At 33.6% G+C, this 20,040-nt stretch overlaps 1 protein-coding gene across 4 annotated transcripts in view; it reads right to left on the bottom strand.

Annotated features, from left to right (window-relative positions):
• U2SURP (U2 snRNP associated SURP domain containing) overlaps positions 1-20,040 on the bottom strand; it is a 59,156-nt gene that overhangs the window by 31,704 nt on the left and 7,412 nt on the right. Inside the window, exons 2-17 of one of the 4 annotated variants that reach the window (NM_001320222.2) lie at positions 18,163-18,207; positions 16,669-16,800; positions 14,613-14,711; positions 12,651-12,765; positions 12,047-12,180; positions 8,986-9,053; positions 8,329-8,423; positions 7,637-7,672; positions 7,467-7,549; positions 6,360-6,525; positions 5,958-6,169; positions 5,004-5,047; positions 4,474-4,538; positions 1,769-1,873; positions 616-682; positions 376-539 (exon numbers count right to left, since the gene is read on the bottom strand). In NM_001320222.2, coding sequence (NP_001307151.1) covers positions 376-539; positions 616-682; positions 1,769-1,848 — 311 coding nt within the window. In that variant the 5' untranslated portion in view covers positions 1,849-1,873; positions 4,474-4,538; positions 5,004-5,047; ... (9 more) ...; positions 16,669-16,800; positions 18,163-18,207. The remainder of the gene's footprint in view (positions 1-375; positions 540-615; positions 683-1,768; positions 1,874-4,473; positions 4,539-5,003; positions 5,048-5,957; positions 6,170-6,359; positions 6,526-7,466; positions 7,550-7,636; positions 7,673-8,328; positions 8,424-8,985; positions 9,054-12,046; positions 12,181-12,650; positions 12,766-14,612; positions 14,712-16,668; positions 16,801-18,162; positions 18,208-20,040) is intronic. The other 3 variants (NM_001080415.2, NM_001320219.2, NM_001320220.2) reach the window with 3 other exon arrangements.

Genomic DNA, 20,040 nt, shown 5'->3' with positions numbered 1-20,040 from the left:
ATAGCCACAATCTGATCCCACTAGCCACACAATAGTTTTTCTTCTTTATGTTGCATTCAGAGAAGCAAGAATTCTAGGGATCCTCCAATAATTTCTGTAAGAATCTGAAGTACTCCAATGCTAAAGAAATAAGTCAATCATGTTTAAGAGATCATCACTAATTTTACCAGGAGAAAACTCAAGGACAACAGGACACACACCTATACTTGTTAGGATGTTTAAAATTATAAAGCACATGATGAAAGATGTTACTATTTTAAACATTCACAAGTGAAAAAAATTTATTTTAGGGTTAACATCTTAATAAGACCATTAATTAAAGCAACCATTACAGTTACTTTTCTGAATATATAATAGAAAGGAAAAATATCTTACTCTTCCTTAAGTGCTCCCTTTTTACTAGGTTCCTCTACAAAAGCTTCTGTTTCTTGCTCTTCTGACATTCCATGCAAGTACGGATTTAATGGTGGTGGCCTCCAAAAAGATCCATTTTTGAACATACGAAAATCTTCCGTCCGCCATTTAGTTGGAGAATCTCCCTAACAAACATTTAGAGTTATTATAAAGGTCTAATTACTCAGAGTCAAAATTAACAAAGTAATTGATTCTACTTGCCTGCAGAATAGAATAAAGCTTCCACCTATAGTAAACATGGGCTGGTGTCTGGTTTTCAAATAAGAACCTACACAAAACAAACAAACATTAAACATCATATTCTTTAACAAAGAGCTATCTTCAATTAAATATAAATAAATGAGAAATATTATTTGCCTATTTAGTTCTAAATAAAACAAAAACAAAGATCCCTGAAGAGAATCTCACCCACTACCACCCGCTACCTATCCCCATTCCTTTACTGCAGCCCTAGACTGCCTTAGTGACTGACATTAATACTCAGAAGGCATGCATCATGAGTCTTATGATCGTTTTCACTGAACACTTACATGGCAGATACTGTGTCTGGCAATGGAGAGATTTTCCCAATATGTAATTACAAAAGCAGTGATTTTACATTACTTAAGTGTTAAACTAGTGTCTAAGAATACCGTAACAATTCAGAGGATAAGCAATTTATTTTAAAACTCATTTGTTCAACTGTATCTCACTTATGATTCCTTCATTGAAAAGCATAATGAAATGTATTTTCCTCCTAGAGAATGCTAAAAACAATACTATTTAATCAACCAAATCAAAATCTGATGGAAAATTGTCCTCAATACATTCTACTCTGATTACTAAAACTGTCTTCCCATCCCGTTGCAGAACTAATCCCATACTTTTACAACTTTATTCTTGGAAATATTTTTAATTCTAATAAATTAAAAGTAGTTTTAAACTGCATGCCTGAAGATAAAATATAGTAAATACATATAATGGAATATTATTTGGCCTTAAAAAAGGAAATCCCGATACATGCTATAATACAGATGAATCCTGAGGACATTATGCTAAATGAAATAAGCTAGTCACAAAAGGACAAATATTGTATGATTATACTCATGTGAGTTTACCCTGAGTAATGAAATTACTAAGAGACAGAAAGTAGAATGGCAGTTGCCGGGGCTAACGGGCTAGAAGACTGAGGAGTTACTGCTACACAGGTAAAGAATTTCCATTTTGGAAGATGAAAAAAGTTCTGGAGATGGATGGTGGTGATGGTTGTACAACAATGTGAATGTACTTAATGACACTGAACTGTATACTTAAAAATAGTTAAAATGGGAAATTTTATGTTACATATATTTCACAATTTTTAAAAAATGCACACCTGAACATAGGATTGTTGATTTCTCTGTTCATAATCATAGCTTCAAACATTGGCCCTTCACGTACAACAAACTCTATCATTCGATGTATCAGGGCGAGCAAATTCCTACAACAACAACACAGTTAAAGAAAATGGATTCAGACCTACCACTATATAAAACTACACTTGACCTAAGTTACTATAATTGTGCAGAAAATGATTATTCTGCTGACTAACACCGAATTTAATACCAAAAAAGTAACCTGGAGCATATGTTAATGCCTTGTGCATTAAGAGGGTGTGGGGCAGTGGGAGTAGGGAAGTGGGAGGGGATGGAAAGGTGAGGGAGGGTAGGAAACCACAATACAGCCTCATAGTAATATTTAATTTTCTAAATGTCACTTATTTTCCAAAAGTAAAACATTAAATTATAAATCACAACTAATTAGAAAGCTGCAAATATTGATATATAAAATCAGTAACTTAGAGCCTGCATGTTATTACAGCCATCTAGAAATTTACACACTATCTCAGTTTAAAAAAAAAAAATTCCTAAACCAAGCACTTTTATGGTGCTACTGAAATGTTATAACCATGACTATAATTTATAAAAATGCAAAACTATTTAACAAGTTTAAGGCCTGATTTAATAAAAAATCCATCCAACTCCTGTGTTTTTCTGGTACACACACCAGATGCATTTTTTATTAAATCTGACCTTTAATGAGGCAACATCCCTTTGGACCACACTTCAAACTAGTTCACAATTCATGAAATAGATAATTCTGCCTTTATATATCTTTTTTCCCTCCAAAACAAGAGATTGATATGCCTGTACACTATCAATCAATGAAGAAATTATGTTGCCAAAGCCTTAAGTGAATGGAGTACTACTCTTTCCAAAATATTGCAAAATGGGGTACACGGTGAGATGCCCTTCCCATTTTCTGTAACAATTATTTTCCAATATTTTACCAAAAATAAACATATGTGAGTAATTTTTTAGTACAGTCATTTTATTGACTGAACTCACAGGAAGTCTTTATCTGAAGCTGGGTCCTAAAATCATGTGATATTTTATTAGACTCCAAACACAATTTTGGACATTGATTATGGTGTCGGGCAAAAATGACTCAGGTTATTTATAAGCTGCTTTTGATTCCTCATTTCACCAGTCCCCATCCATACACAGCTGGCAAATAACAATTGGGAAAAGCAAAAGGATATTGGCTCTTGGTACAAAGCACACACTAAATTACACCTTTAGCATTCCCAGCTCAAATTACGTTCATATAACTGCTAGAATGTAAATAAATATATAGTTATAGAACAAGACAGACTTTTGTGGCTCTATAATGCCCTATTTCAGAGTACATGAACAATAAAATAATCTATCTCAAGGTGACTATAATTATTTTCTCATAGCTTTCAAACAAACCTACTTAAAATGAAATCTCTCCATAGTGAAAAAAATTTAAGCCTAAAGGAAGTAAAAAAAATTGCATCACAGTTTAAATCTTTACAAAGGGGAAATCATGCATTTAAAACTACTAATTCAACCTCAAATTGTCAAAACAAAAAACTAAAAACATTGCTTAATTTTCTATTTAAAAATTATTTCTCTTTCACAGAAGTAATTGCTCTGCAAATATGCAGTTCTTCAGCATTCATATGGTTAATGACATTATTTTGAAGGAAGGGCGATAATGTAAAGTTATGATTCAATTCCAAAACTCCCCACTGATAGGAGCCAAATTAAAGCTAAGGGAAATTTTATGTATAAGACTAATTACTAGGTGGACAAATGTTATACATCCAGAAACTTGTGTGAATTAAGTCAAAAGCAACTTGACTTTAGCATTTAAGATAGAGGAAAATTGTTTAGCAAGTTTAAAAACAAAGGATTCATCCTAATGGTGAGTGAAGACTTTCGGCAAAACGCACACTCAAAATTTTGTTTAGAAATAAGCTGAGCCACATACATGTAAAGCTACCACTAGATATGTGCTTTTTTTGAATGCTACAAAAATACTATCCTGTGAATGCTTTTATCAGTGGTGAAAAACCCACTATAGTTTTAAACAGGCTTGTAACTGATAAATCTATTTTTAGAAAATTAAAAGTTTATAAGTATTTTTAAAATGTTTCATGATTATTTAAAATCAAAATCTGACAATTAATTGTTATTAACTTGATGTCAAGATTACTAAAGAACTGTAATCACATTCTTCTTCCTTAAGGATTGTGTTTATTTTAAAAATGGTGACTTTTCTATTAGAATAAAACAGTGTAGTACAAAAAGATGATATATTTAAAGTGCATTATTTAATTTTAAAATGGTAATTATCTTATTCTGGGCAACAATAACCAAAAAAAAAACAAAAACAAAAAATTGTCTCTCAGTTATAATAAAACCACATTTATTGGAGTCGATCGTACCAATGTCTGGTCAAAAACTGTATACTTTCCCAATCCATCCCATGATGTTTTCCTGGTCCCCCGCTGCCGCAGACAGTTCAGCTGGTGTTGCTCACCAAGGCCAATGTCAAAGAGAATTTGGTATTCTTTTGTGTTCATTTATTATTCAACCAGTGTTGTGTTCCTGTGTTTGGGAAAAGGCTTAGCTTGACTGAGCAAGAGCATACCTACAGCATGAATTCTTCTGCTTTAATAGTGTGTTGAAAGAGAAAAAAAGGAAGAAAGGAAAATAAAAGAATTCCAAATACCTTTGTTACCATGAAAAGAAAGTTTCTAGTATGTCCAGTGTTCATGACAATAATAGGAATTTCTTCTTAAAATCAATTGAAAAAACAAAAAACAAAGCTATGCCTTCAGTAAGGAGAACTCAAACCAAGGTTATATATTAAATGCAGATAATTCAGAAAACAAGAAAAAAATAACAACAGATTGGGTCAAACTGTAACGTTATCTGAAATTTACGACACACTTAAAACATCTATTTTCCCATGACAATAGTCTATTGTCTGACTCCAAATCAGAGCTAATAAATACACTCTAACTAGTCAAACTATAAACATTCCCTACAGTGATAACAATAAAAACAAAAAAAGATACTGACATAAAATTGCAAAGTATACAAAAGTTAGTTAAATTTCACACATCCCCCCGCAAAAAGTACTGGGAAGGAACCATTGCTCAGTCAAGATACTACCTTTTCCTCAACACCATTTCTTTTTAAATTCAGAAGGGGATATTGTCTATATTTAGATCAGTAATAATAAAGAAAAACATGTACCTTTCTGTTGGGATAACCACTTTGACTATGGCTTGCGACAGAGTCTGTATATGAAGTCACATCAGATAATAAACATAGAATATGTGAGTATTGTTAACAAGTAACAAGCAAAAATATACATATGCATTGAAAATACTACATATCTAATCACAAGTTTTGCAGGCAATCACTGCATTTGAAGTCATTATACACTAAGCAATTACATAAATGCAAATGGATGTGTTCAGTGAACAATAAACGTTCACCAAATGCAAAGAATCAGAACATTCCTGCCAGAATGCACATCAATGCACTGAAATAGGTACTACACTGAGAATTATCAGATAAAGATTTTAATTTGTGAAATAATTAACTGTTTGCCTCTGACCATACAGTTCGCTACTTTGTTCCCAAGCCTTTAAAACCAGCCCTGTCATTTTAAGTGTAATTAATTCATAATAGAACCAACGAATTCTTATAACTTGAAATTAAGTTGGTTTTATTTACTAAAAAGAAAATACTCACCCTTTGCTTTTACTAGATTAACTATTTTTTACAAACCACATAAATCTTCTCAAATATTCTAATACCTCAGATCTAGCTGCCATCCAAACAATAACTACTTAGGAGGTCTTTCTAATTGAAATGTCACTTAACCAAATACAAAGTATCACTTTCTCAGAACAAAGTAAATTTAGTTAATACACTTAAGCAAATCTGGATACAACACTGGACAAAGGAAAAAAAACTTAACAAGTGGTCAAAAAAGGAATGGTAGCCACAAATAAAAATATGACCTAGTATTTCAAATATAGGGTTTCCATGGGCTAAGGCAGGGAACACATCTACTTATTTCTTTAAAAGTTGCCAAACAGAATTACACACACATTTTCTATAAAATTGTTGAAAAGAAATACTACCACAGCTTTAGTATTTACAAATTAGATGCGGCCTTATGTCCATTTTTTAAATTACCTTCTCAAAATCCTCTTTGTTTTTAGGTGGCGGTAACATAGGAGCATTAGGGTTTTTTAACCGCTCTCTAGGCTGCGCATTAAAAGGCAGTCCGGATGGAGGTGGGGGAAGCGTATGTTCCATCATAGAAGGCGGAATGTATATTGGATGTGGAGGAATAGGTACAGCTTTACCCCAACCTAACTTCATTTCAAAAGACATAATCATTTTTCCTACAAGAAAGAAATGAAAGGTCATTTTGTTAACTCTCAAAAGTTTCCAAACAAAATTTTTCTGGTGAGTTGAAATAATTTTCATTTTAACCTCTCCATTTCAGGTCCAATCCTTCCTAGTTTTTATAAATACTTTTCCAAACCAAAGAAATATCTGAATTGTATAAATGGATAATAAAAATGTTCTTACCATTCAAATTTTTTAAAGCTCTTTCAGCATCTCTTCTATTCATAAAGGCCACAAAGCCGCAATTTCTCTCTCTGGCTCTTTCTTCATCAGTTCTAGGCCACATGATTTTCACACTGGCTAACGGTCCAAATCTTCCAAATTCTTGGCACAGCATTTCTTCATTCATCTATTAAAAAGGGTAAAAGATTTTTATTATGCAAAAAAGGGAAAAGAAAAAATTATTTTCAGAAAACAAAGTAGTTTTTACAAAATAAAAAGCAACATAGCAACGTGCTTCAATTTTCCATTTAAGTACCAGGAACGCCACACAAGTAAAATCCCGCGTGGGGCATTCATAAATCATTTCATACTATAAATATTCTGGTTTATTTAAGATGCCAGGGTGGGGAAGTTCAGTGGATGAAGAAATCAAAATCATTTTTACTCTCTATCTTCCTTTGTTTTAAGGTCCTGGATCTAAGTAAGATGTTTTATAGTGATGGTTTGTTTAGGCATTTAGTAACATTTTTCAAGCAGGCATGGTTAGTACATTTAAATTAAAGAGGAAATATGTATTGACAATGAAGAAAAAAAGTATCTAATCATCTGTTCTAACAATCAACTACCCATGTAATCAAATGCAGAGAAAACAGGTAACAGTATATATGCAAAATATAATTTTTAATAATAGCATATTATATACTACCGTTACTACATTCCCCATATCATAATTAACAGCACCAATGCAGGAAAAGAATTAAAATATAAAAGACAAACCACAAAGAGTAGTTTACTACTATGAGAAGAAAAAGGGACTCCACAAGGAAACAAGTATGCATCAGAAGTGGACAGTCTCAAAATAATATTATTCATCAATGGTCACACCCTGATTTAATAATAAAATCAGCACCTAGTAAAACATTTCAAATCCAGAGTTCAATCTAGTTACTGAAAGAGGAAACAAGAATATGTGGCAAGACAACCTGGGCCATACCAGTAAGACAACTCTAAAGACTATCCAATTCCATCAGATTTGTCAGCTTCAGAATCTTGATTTTTTTTGACTAACAAAGCTTTCTTCCAAAAGCATAAAGCATATCAATCAACATTCATCTTACTTAATATTACCTGTGGATTAATGTTTCCAAGGTATAAATTAGTAGTGCTTGGATCTCCTACATCATGTGAGCCAGGTGCGTAATCATCAAGAACTAGGGCAGAAAGAAAAAAAGAATTATAACCTGCAAAACATAAAGTTTGGAAAATTTATCGATTAAAAGAGCAAAAAACTGTATTACCACCAGATGATCTATTTCTTCTTGAAGGCGCGTCCACTTAAAGGGGAGAAAAGAAGACAATTATTAGTTTTTATAATACAGTAGTCCCCCCTTACCCTCACCTTTGTTTCCCCCAGTTTGTTACAGTAAGGTATTTCTGAGAGACAAAAAGAGAGACCACTTCACACAACTCTGTTGTTGTTGTTGTTGTTTTTTGAGACAGACTCTTGCTCTGTCGCCCAGGCTGGAGTGCAATGGCACGTTCTCGGCTCACTGCAACCTCTGCCTCTCAGGTTCAAGCAATCCTTCTGCCTCAGCCTCCTGAGTAGCTGGGATTACAGGCACGCACCACCACGCCCGGCTAATTTTGTATTTTTAGTACAGACAGGGTTTCATCATGTTGGCCAGGCTGGTCTCGAACTCCTGACCTTAGGTAATCCACTTGCCTCGGCCTCCCAAAGTGTTGGGATTGCACATAACTTTTATTTCAGTATATTGTTATAATTGTTCTATTACTTATTGTTGTTAATCTCTTACTGTGCCTAATTTACAAATTAATTTTTACCACAGCTATGAATGTGTAAGGAAAAGGATAGTATATATCCATGGTTTCAGACATCCACTGGTGATCCTTGGAATGTAACCCGCCACGGATAAGGTGGGAACTACTGTAATTAATCACAAGCATACACATTAAAATAAATGCCACTTACTAGAACGACGCTGACCATCAGAATCTGACTGAGGAGGTTCAAATCGACTTAATCTGCCTTTTGTTTTATGTCTCTCATCACGTTCCTCTTGAATTCTGTTGAAAATATTTACAATCACTTATAATGAGCCAAAATTTGTTCATTCACATTTCAGAATAGCGCTTATCAAATTACTATCATCAAATAACTAGAAATATCTGTAATTAAATACTGGTACTGATAACCAAGATTAGAGGGTCCCTCAGCTATAATACAACCACGAGCAAATTTCTGATATATCATACTACCAATGGAACACAAAGCCTACTTTAAAGGTGAGGAGGAAATTAAACACTAAAACCACTGAATTTGTTTCTTGCTAAGTCTAACTGCCCCTCACTCCCATCCCAGTGAGTATACTGTTTCCACTGCAAACAGGACTCTGGACATTAAGTAAATCAATTGAACTGAATCCTCGTAATGCAAGCAACCCAGGTGCTGGACTAAATGCTAATTTATTTTCAAAGATAGCCCACCAAATATTATAATATCTAAAACAATCTCATAGCAAACTGGTTAGTAATAACTAACTGGTACAGTATATTCTTTATACTTGCATCTGTTTATGTATCAGCTCAATACACCTATGATAGTTATTCTCCACACTATAAAACTTACTGCTTTAATTCTTCTTTGAAGAGTTCCAAATTGCTTTTTTTCTTTTCTTTCTCTCCTTTTTTAAGTGGCTATAAAGGATATGACAAGTTATACTTCAAACAAAAGGATAAGCAAAACCAATGATTCAATAATAAGAGCCTTTTTACATCATTTCAGTACAAATTGTATGTTCTAATTATTTAAATTAAAAAGGAAGAATGCTTTTCTTATCATTGAACCTCCCTTCCCCTTCCTTCAAAATAACAAACAATTAAATTATTACTACAATTAAACAATTAAAATGACAACCAGTAGTCAGGGAAATTAATGAACATGAAGTAACTGAACTGCCATGGAAAGTAACTGCCAAAAATACGCACTCTTCAAAAATCACCTCTGGAGGACATGAGTTACTGGAACAGTAAGTAACATCTTTGGAATCCTCTTTTAAAACTGCTTCTTAATCTACTTTTGGAATCCTTCTTTTAGAAGTGCCAACATAATTTAATAGGGAAGAATAATCTTTTCAACAAATGGTGCTTGGACAACTGAATATCTACATACAGAAAAATGAAGTTGGACTTCTACTTTACACCATATACTAAATGTACAAAAATTAACTCAAAATGGTTCATGGACATAAAAGTAAGAGCTAAAACTATAACACTTTTGGGAGAAAACCACAGGAATGAATATTCATAATCTTGAATTAGGTGATGGTTTCTTAGATATGACACCAAAAGCGTAAACAAAAGAAAAAAACTGATAAATTGGACTCCATTAAAGTTTAAAACCTCCATGCTTCCATCAAGAAAATGCAAAGACAACCCAGAGAACAGAAAACATTTCCAAATCATATAGCTGATAAGAACCTTGACTCAAGAAGATGTAAAATACTCTTACGATTCAACAACAAAAATACAAATAACCCAATTAAAAAGTGGGCCAAGTATCTGAACAGACATTTCTCCAAAAGAAACTTATAAATGGACAATAAACACATGAAAAGATGCTCAATATAATCAAGTACATGCAAATCAAAACCACAATGAAGTACAACTTCACACACACTAAAATGACTAAAATAAACTTTTCAAACAAAATAGTTTTGTTTGTTTGTTTGTTTGTTTTTGAGATGGAGTTTCGCTCTTGTTGCCCAGGCTGGAGTGCAATGCTGTGATCTTGGCTCACCACAACCTCTGCCTCCCGAGTTCAAGCGATTCTCCTGCCTCAGCCTCCCGAGTAGCTGGGATTACAGGCATGCACCACCATGCCCGGCTAATTTTGTATTTTTAGTAGAGACGGGGTTTCTCCATGTTGGTCAGGCTGGTCTCAAAGTGTTAGTGTACGACGTGAGAAAACTGGAACCCTCATACATTACTGGTGGAACTGTAAAGTGATACAACCACTTTGGAAAAACTGGCAGTTTCTCAAAAGGCTAAACATAGTTACCATGTGACCCAGCAATTCCACTTCTCGGTGTGTGTATATACATGTATCCAAGAGAACTGAAAACATAAGTTCACACAAAAAAAGCCCACACATGAATGTTTACAGCAGCATTATTTCTAACAGCAGAAAAGTGGAAACAATCCAAATGTCCATCTACTAAGTAATGCATGGATAAACAATATATGGTATGTCCATAAAATGGAGTATTATTCAACCACAAAAAGGAATGAAGTACTGATTCATGCCACAACAAAGATGCACCTTGAAGCATTATGCTAAGTAATGAAGCCAGATACAAAAGACCACGTTATATAATACCATCCATAAAAAATGTCCAGAATAGACAAATCAAGAGACAGAAAGTAGATTAGTAGGCTGTCAGGGACTGAAGTTAATAGAAAAAAAAAATGGGAGTGACTGATAATGGGTAGGGATTTCTTTTTAGGGTGATAAAAATATTCTGAAATTAGAGTGGTGATTGTTGCACAATTTTCAACATACTTAAAACCACTCAATTGTACACTTTATTTAAATTTTTTTTCTTTTTGTAAAGATGGAGTCTTGCTATGTTGCCCAGGCTGGTCTCAAACTCCTGGGCTCAAGCCATCCTCCAGCCTCAGCTTCCCAAAGTGCTAGGATTACAGGCATAAGCCACTGCACCTAGTCAACTGTATACTTTAAAAGGATAAATTTTAGCCAGGCGTCTGTAATCCCAGCACTTTGGGAGGCAAAAGTGGGCAAATCGCTTGAGTCCAGGAGTTTGAGACCAGCCTGGGCAAAATGGCAAAACCCCATTTTCACAAAAAAATACCAAAAAATTAGCTGGGCATGGGACTACATTGCCTGTAGTCCCAGCTACTCATGAGGCTGAGGTGGGAGGACCACCTGAGCCTACGAGGTTGAGGCTGCAGGAGCCGTAATCACACTACTACACTCTAGCCTGGGTGACAGAGAGACTGTCTCAAAAAAAAAAGGTAAATTTTATTGTATTGTATGTGAATTATATCTCAATAAAGCTGGGGTTTTTTTTTCATTGCTTTTAGAGATATTTTTTAAGCCACACAAAAAAAACCAGGCTTACTATTCAATGCAATCATATTTATTCACCACATTTGGTTCCAAATGACATGACCCACATCTGTCTACCATCTCCCATAAAAACTAAACCCTCAAAGAAAAAAAAATTTTTTCTAACACTGAGAATATTTTAAGTGTCACTAATTCTGACAGTAATTCCCAAAATGTTCCAAAAATGTTCTGGGAAATATACACTACACATACTAATAATTTAAATACCTCAGTTCAGAAATGCTTAAAAAGACAACCCCATTGCAAGTCAAATATAGTCAATTTTTGACTTGCAATATAGTCAATTTTTGACTTGCAATATATTATGAGCATAAATAGCAAATGTTCACTGCTCAAAAAGCATAAAAAGAATATCATCTACGTGTCCCAATTCATTAACTCTCATCTAAGTAAATTACTGGGTTAGAAAGCATCAAAACTTAACATCTACCACCCTGCCCCCACCAAAAACGAAAAAAAGCCAAAGTCTTGCTTACAGTGGAAGTATCACTGGCAGTGTCATCTCTGAACATAAATGGTCAATTACTTAAGTATGACTTACAGGTTTTTTGGTTTCTATCACAAGAAGAGATGGTGGTCTTTCATTGGAAGACTGATTTGGAGGATTTTTTTGATCTGCAAATCTTGAAGATGGCTTATAGATTTTACCTCTTTTTTCATCTGTTTCATGTTCTTCTGAAATTTAAAATACTAAGTTTCAAAACTAATTTCGCAATATTTTTCTTTACTGTTTTATTTAAAAACAAGTAAAAATTAGTAAAATGCTTTTAGTATTAAGATGTATCACTATTAACAAATATGAAATTAAATTCAAATATCACCTCAATAATGCTAATTTAATCATTTCATAGCAAAACTATGACACATATTAAAATTTGTGACAAGTGCTCTGCTGTCTTAAAACTTGAAAGGAACTAAATATGTTTAAAAGCTATCTGTCTTCAGCATCTCATTAATTGACACTTGGCCATTTATCTTGCTAATTAATAATAACCACTAGAGGGTGCTGATAGAAAATGTAAAATTCAAAAGCAACCAAACTTCCTTTCATAATTATCTACCTGCAGTCATTCAACCAAGATGGGGCTCGCTCAAAAACTGTAATACAGTTATGCTTTATTAGCAGTTATACTTTATAAACTTACCTTTAGCTGCATTAACAACACCCCCTCGCACAAATGTTTTCACTTTATTACCATCACTTCCTTCAAAAGCAGCAAGAAACTCCTCATAAATCTCAGCAGCTGCCTTTTCATCCTCCTAAATACACATGAAAATATTAATATTACACAATACAAAAATTGTTAATGTACACAAGGCTAAATTCATCAAGGAATAATATGGACGAAAACCCTCCCTTCCCAGGTTAAGCAGTCCTAACAAGTAATAACGTCTAATCTTTAGAAGATATTAAGTATTAATTAATGAAACCAAGAGAGGCTTTGCTCCTCTACCGGCAATTTGCAGAACTAGAAAAGAACCCCTAAGTATAGATTAATTAGTAAATTTGTCTAGAGACAACTCAAGCATCAAATTATATGACAACTGACTATATGAAAACATATTTTGCTAGTAATGTTTACCAAGTTTCCAAGGCATGATGATTTAATTCAGTGAATATAAATATTTTTCAAATCACCAAAAACATGAGTATTAGAAGTTGAAGCAGCAATATCTACTGACAAGTGGCATTAAGGAAAGCTCAGAAGAATCTTGATATAAAGAAAGCTCAGAAGAATCTTGATATTTTCAATTATTCTAAATGTCCCCAAAACATGTATGAACAGAAGAAAGGCCAATGGAACATAACAGAAAATACAGAATAAAATTGAATAGCATGTGGAAATTTAGTGTTCAATAAAAGGAGCATCTCAAATCAGTGGGAAATAGACAAACTTTTCAATAAATGATACTAGGATAACTGAATAATTATTTGAAAAAAGACAAAAATTAATCTATTCTTGACACCACATACCAGAATAAACTACAAAATAATCTGATTTAATATTCTTAAAAAAGAAACCATTCAGTAGTAGAGGAAAACATGAGGAAATTTCTTTATAAGCTGGTAATGGAAAAAACTGAAAAACCAGAAATCATAGGGAAAGACTGATAAATCTGATTGTACAATAGTTTCTGCATGGAGCAAAACACCAGCAGCAAAATAAAAAGACAATCAACAAAGTGAGAAAAAAAATTGTACCTTGTATAACAAAGTGTTAATATAACTTATAGAAAAAAATGGTTCAGATATGAGCAGACAGTTCACAGAAACAAACACAAGAAAAACTGTTAAACTTTACTCATAATGAGAGAAATCCAAATGTAAAACTACACTGAGATACCATTTTTCATGTAGGAGATTGGCAAAAGTCCTCTACTGGCAGTGCTATGGGGAAACATTCATTCATACACTACTGACAGGGGTGCAACATGTCACTGCCCCTACAGAGAGCAATTTGACAATGACAAATATAGAAAAACTACATTTATGCATTTATCACTCAACCCAGTAATCTCACTTATAAGAATATATCCCAAATCTCACCTATAAGAATATATCCCAAAGATAACACTAGCAAAAAAACCAAACATATGCATAACATTATCCATAACAGCATTACTTTTAATGGCAAAAGAACAAAACATAAATGCCCTCGATAGAATTTTAGTTGAATAAATGATTGCATATCTACACAGCCATAGCAAATGAATAAGGAGTATTTCTATATACTTGAGGTAATTTCTGAGATACAATGTTAAGTTAAAAAAGCAAGTAGGAAAAAAGTGTACTGTATAAAGCATGCTATCATTAATCTAAGGGGAATGGGTACAATGTGTCTACACACACATACACTTTACTTATACAAAAAGAATAGATTAGAAAATAGCCAAAACTATAACAAAGAAAAAAGAAACAGGGTGAGGGAACAAGGATAGAAGCTCAACTCCTAGGAATATATGTTGTATTACAGACTTGACTCAGAGGCGGACCTGAGAATATCCTAGAGGTTAAGAATCTTCGGGAAACATTCCTCTAATACACTTACTAACCCCTTAGACACATTCATTTCCAAGGATAATTCAAAATACATTTTCAACATTACCTTTTTCTTTAATTCTTCCTGTTCCTTTTTACTTAAAGTTCGCTTAGCTGTACTCATTTTTCCAATACTGAATGCTTTAAGTTTGTTTTCCAGAAGAGGCTAAGAAATAAAAAGCATACTTTTACATATAGATTCTTAATGCTATCTAAAACTTTAATACACATCAACTGATAACTAAGTCTTCAGAATAGACTGCCGTTTTTTTTTAAATTTCATTGTAAAGAAAAGTTGGGGCTACTCTACACATCAGGTGCCTATCTTACTTGACTCTGATGTTAAGTATTCATCAAAGAATGTCTTCATTTACTAGCTCAAGGTCAAAAACATGCAAAAGTCATGTTAAAAAAAAAAGGTAAAAATAGAAGAGACTGACACTAATGCTTAGAACAAGAATAAAAGCATTTGAGGGGGAAAGTACAGATGTTTCTGGGGAAAAGTTGCAATGACAGAAAACAGATCCTCAAATAAGCAAATGGAGGCAAACATTTCCATGGTCCTGGGGCAGGAATTTACCACCTACAACACTCATTTTACATATTATAAATCACTTATTTTTTATAATTTGGTAAACTACCTCATTCTTCGTCAATAATACTGATATTTATGAACATAATTTCATTCTTTGCTGGGATTAAAATATCACCTACAATATTTAAAGTTTCAGCTCAAGTAAAACTATATCAATTTTAAATATAAGAAAACACTATTTTAATGAAGTCTTCATTTATGTAACTTAGAAGCAACTTCCTTCTGAAATATAGCCTGAATACATTGTCTGTAGACCTTTTTGTTCAGTCAGTTACTCATTTGATTTATAAACTTAAAAGGTAGGAAATGTTTATTAAATACAACCTAAAATACTGAAATCTGAAGGTTTCTCTCTCCTACTAAAATGAGAAGCTAACCAATTACAAAATCAAGACTTTAAATTCCCTAGTCATTAAATAGGCTTGCCTTTGGGAGATGCAGAATAGAAGAGTAACATTGCTGCTAACTATTTTAAATTTATATTAAAATCCCTTTGAGAAAAATAAAGCAGTTTATAACCTAAAAGTCAATATTGGGTTTCAGGAGAGGATTCAAAATAAATTTTCTCAAAATAGAAAGAAAATCGTTTTGCCATCATTCAGTCTCTTTGGTTTCAACTTCAAAAGTTTAAACAAGTGGCAAAATTATATATGAATTAAATGAAACCCAATGAAAAATTACCATGCTCAAATTTTATTTATACCCTAAGAGCTAAATTCAGATACCCAACAGAGATGTGGCAAAGGAAACTATGGAGTATTTTTCAAATAAACAATATAAGCAATCATTTAAAAGTTTGTTTACAGAATTCTTGCAGAAATGAAAAAAAATTTATAACTAAAAACAGGATATTTTAAAACGGATTCTTATAAAAATAAATCTAGGCAAAGTAAAAATATATTTATGCCTAGAAATATTAAACAAGAAAAATACTTTGTTACCAGTGGTTAATACTGGCTGGTGATGACTGTGTTATGTTACAAATTTAACCACAAGAAAATATTACTTGACATAGAATAAAAGTCTAAAAGAGCCTGAGAGCACTTTAGAGATCTAAAAGTGAAGAAGCTCCTTCTCTGTGTTCCTGTATTACCCTGGGCACTGCACTCATTAGAGTGAATAGCACCTGCTCCTGTTTGCTTTCAGAGTGAGACTATAAGCTCAGTGGGAACACGAACAGTGTTTCAATGATCTGTGCATTTCCAGTAACTGGTATTTCGCACTTGGTTCAATAAATGTTTAAGTGGGGAAAGATAAACTTGACAATTAACCATTTTAAATCCAAACACTACTTTGTTTTTCAAATAAAATTTAAAACTCTAAAATGAAATATCTCACATTTGAGCTAAAAAGATGTCCCTACATAAATGAGTTTACTGTTATCCCAAATACAAAAAGAATGCTATTTTCAAATAGAATAAGATGAAACACATACAAAACCAAATATTCGACCACTAAATTCAGTCAAAGACAGATTAAAATCATTAACTATCCTTTCTTATCTTTACCTTATCTTATCTATACTCACTCTTGAGAGATTCTGATGAGGAGAATCACAAAGGCTTTCACGGGCACTTTCATTCCTATAATTATGTTTTCTTGGGCTCTTAGGTCGTGTCCGACTTGGCATATCACTATCTGAGGGTCCAGATGCATCCATCTTCAGGAAAAGTAAAACAAGAGAAAAAAACAAACCACACATATATACATATATAGCACTGAAAACTAGGAATAAGCCATGCCAGATATTGACAAATTTCATTGTAGATTATCAAAATATCACATCCCTTAATATCACCATTGATTTCACCAAAAAAGTTCTTAAGAACAGGGAAAGTTTTCAATAACTCTAACTCACAAGCTTGAATTTTATATTGGTAACAGTTGTTTTCCTTGAAGTAACAGGTTCGTTACCTTCATTTTCAAGAAAATGTCTGCCAAAATCCCCAAGTCTGATTCACCATAGTTTGCCTGTCAGTCACTCCCAAGTAAAACTGGTGTTTCATGAAAAAAGCAGCTAGTTTCATTTCTCAACTCAAACAAACATCACATTTTGGTAAGCATAAGTGTTATACGTACTTCTTATTTTATCACACAGAATATTAAGACGAACTACACAAAAGATGAAGACAATAGTAATAATTTTTACTGCTTGATGAAGTAGTAAAATAGTAGTAACTTTTACTGCATCATCAAGCAGTAAAAATTATTTCTAATTATGCTAGTTTTTTAAGTGAAATTATTGTGCCTGGTGGGGAAGAATATAATGACTACAAGTATACTCTGGTGTCACTGCCTTGATCTGTGCTGAAGTGCCAACAGTTTACCCACCAAATGCTTTTGTACCTCCAGCTACACTTGCATTAGTGCAAATGCCAAAATGGTGAAAAAGGCATAAATAATGCCTTAGTATTATTACAAAATAGTTTTGAATTCACAGACCCTTCTCAGAGATTCTCAGTGACTCCAGGGGTCTTCAGACTACACTTTGAACACTGCTGTAATAACATATATTAAAAAAATACTTATTGTAGTATTATCTATCCAAAATGTTACTTGAAAGCTTTAAACAAAAAATATATGCCCATCAACAAAGAAATAACAAACAACTGCACTTCCCCACCACAGAACATTATGATGCCTTAAGAAAGAACAGATTAGAGCTGTTAACAGTTTACCTGCAGGGATTTCCAACATATGTTTTGTGCGGTGAGAAAGGCATATGCATAATGCAATCCCATAGTCAAAGTATAAGTATAGATACGTTATGTATGTACAGATTTTTACACAATAAAAATCATAAGGAAATATACATACTAGGTTTCTAACATCGCTTCAGAGGGCTAAGTTATGCAAGCAGAACATAAAAAAAAAAAAGGAAGGCGCCTAGAAAAAAAAGAGTAAAAGAAAAAAGCACATACAATTGTATTTATTTGTCAAGTAAAATCATTGATGTAGGGATACATATGAGGAGAAGTTAAATTTTAAAGGAAAAAAGACAAAGATTGCCTTCTATACTCACATGTGCATCTGAAGATCCAGATGAATGAACATCTGATGATCTCGTCTACAAGTATCAAAAATAAAAGTCAATAATTTAAAATGTCTTATACTAACAAAACATGTCTCTCGTGTTATACAAACTTAAGAGTTTCCTAACTTCTGGCAATTTCTCCTCAGCTAATAAAACTGAGCAAAGGCAGTCTCTGACTTATGAAAAGATTGTGATACAAAGTAAATGTGTAAGTCATTTCTTTAAAATTCAGCCTGCATATTTCCAAAAATATAATAAACACTAGTGGGATATATATGAGGCAAAATTACCTCTTTATAGTATACACTGGAAACCTAACCACCATTTTTACACAGTTTTATGCAAAAGCTCTTCCTAATCATAGATGCATCGTTTACTGCCACAGCACTGCCCAGCAACTTCTTGGTCCACAGCACGAGAACTCTCTTTCTCTAATCACCCAAAGCCACATAAAGAAATCCACATATAAATCCTTGCTGTCTATTAAAAGGTACAAATTCTGCAAAGTTCCAGAAAATATTATCAAATCCCCAATAAGGCACCATTTACAACTCGTTTTAAGGGAGATGATTCGATAGCATGTCACAGGCTGCCTGGTGGCATGAGAAAGAGTTCATATAATATCTTCCAGTGATGTCAACTGTTAAAACTTCAACTTTTCTTAAGTGATCTACCTATCAGATTATACATGGTATGCAATAACTTGTTGCCACTACACATGTAAAGACAAAGATGACAAGCTGTAGGACGATTAACTAAATAATGTATGCTATCTTTCTGAAAGAAAGATTCTCCAAGAATTTTTACTTGGGGATCCAAAATATAACTGTCACTGAGCTGTTTTTATTTTTGAGGGTATACGGTAGTGAAATTTTACTTGTTTTTATTTATATATTTAAGTGTCAAATGTTCAAATGAAATCAAGAATATTGAGATCACAAATATCTCACCTGACCCCAACTCCCAGACAAGATGTCATATAAAGTACAAGATAAAATATTAGTTTAAGAGAAAAACTGAAGATTCATGTTATTTAAAAAAGAGCAAAGATCCATACAGTATTGTTTTATTTACATTGTCCAGACATAAGGCTAAGAACAGCTGGTAAGATTTTTACACTGAATCAATTTACTCCTCTGAACTCCACTGTATTGCGCATTAGCATAGGCAAAAATCAGCCCAGGACAACAGGACAACCAAGCACTGGGACCCCTCCCATCTCATTCTTTCTTTCATTTTTTTTTTTTCTTGAGACAGAGTCTTACTCTGTCTCCCAGGCTGGAGTACAGTGGCGCGACCTCGGCTCACTGCAGCCTCCGCCTCCCGGGTTCCAGTAATTCTCCTCCCTCAGCCTCCTGGGTAGCTAGGAGTACAGGCACGCACCACCATGCCTGGCTAATTTTTGTATTTTTAGTAGAGACGGAGTTTTACCACGTTGGCCAGGCTGGTCTCGAACTCCTGACCTCAGGTGATCTGTCCACCTCAGCCTCTGAAAGTGCTAGGATTACAGACATGAGCGACCGCACCCGGCCCCATCTCACTCTTTCTGTCCATGGTTTTTCTGTCCCCAACTTTTGTGTCCACCCTGATTTTCTTCTAGCGGCTAATCTTTCTTAAATGTCAAGGTGGTATAAAAGAAAATTTTTAGTATTTATTAACTATGAAACACACCCTGAAACATATCTTGAAATGCATAAATTTACAAATATCTAGAAATTTAAAAATCCAAAAGAATAAATAACTACTCTTACAAAAGAAAAACAAGTTCAGGCAAGAGGCTGAAGGGACTGAAAAAAATCAACTGCCTGGGCCAGGTGCAGTGGCTCACGCCTGTAATCCGAGCACTTTGGGAGGCCGAGGCGGGTG

Source organism: Homo sapiens, chromosome 3 (genome assembly GCF_000001405.40).
Source record: "Homo sapiens chromosome 3, GRCh38.p14 Primary Assembly".
Lineage (NCBI taxonomy): Eukaryota > Metazoa > Chordata > Mammalia > Primates > Hominidae > Homo > Homo sapiens.
This window is presented reverse-complemented; position numbering and strand designations above follow the sequence as displayed.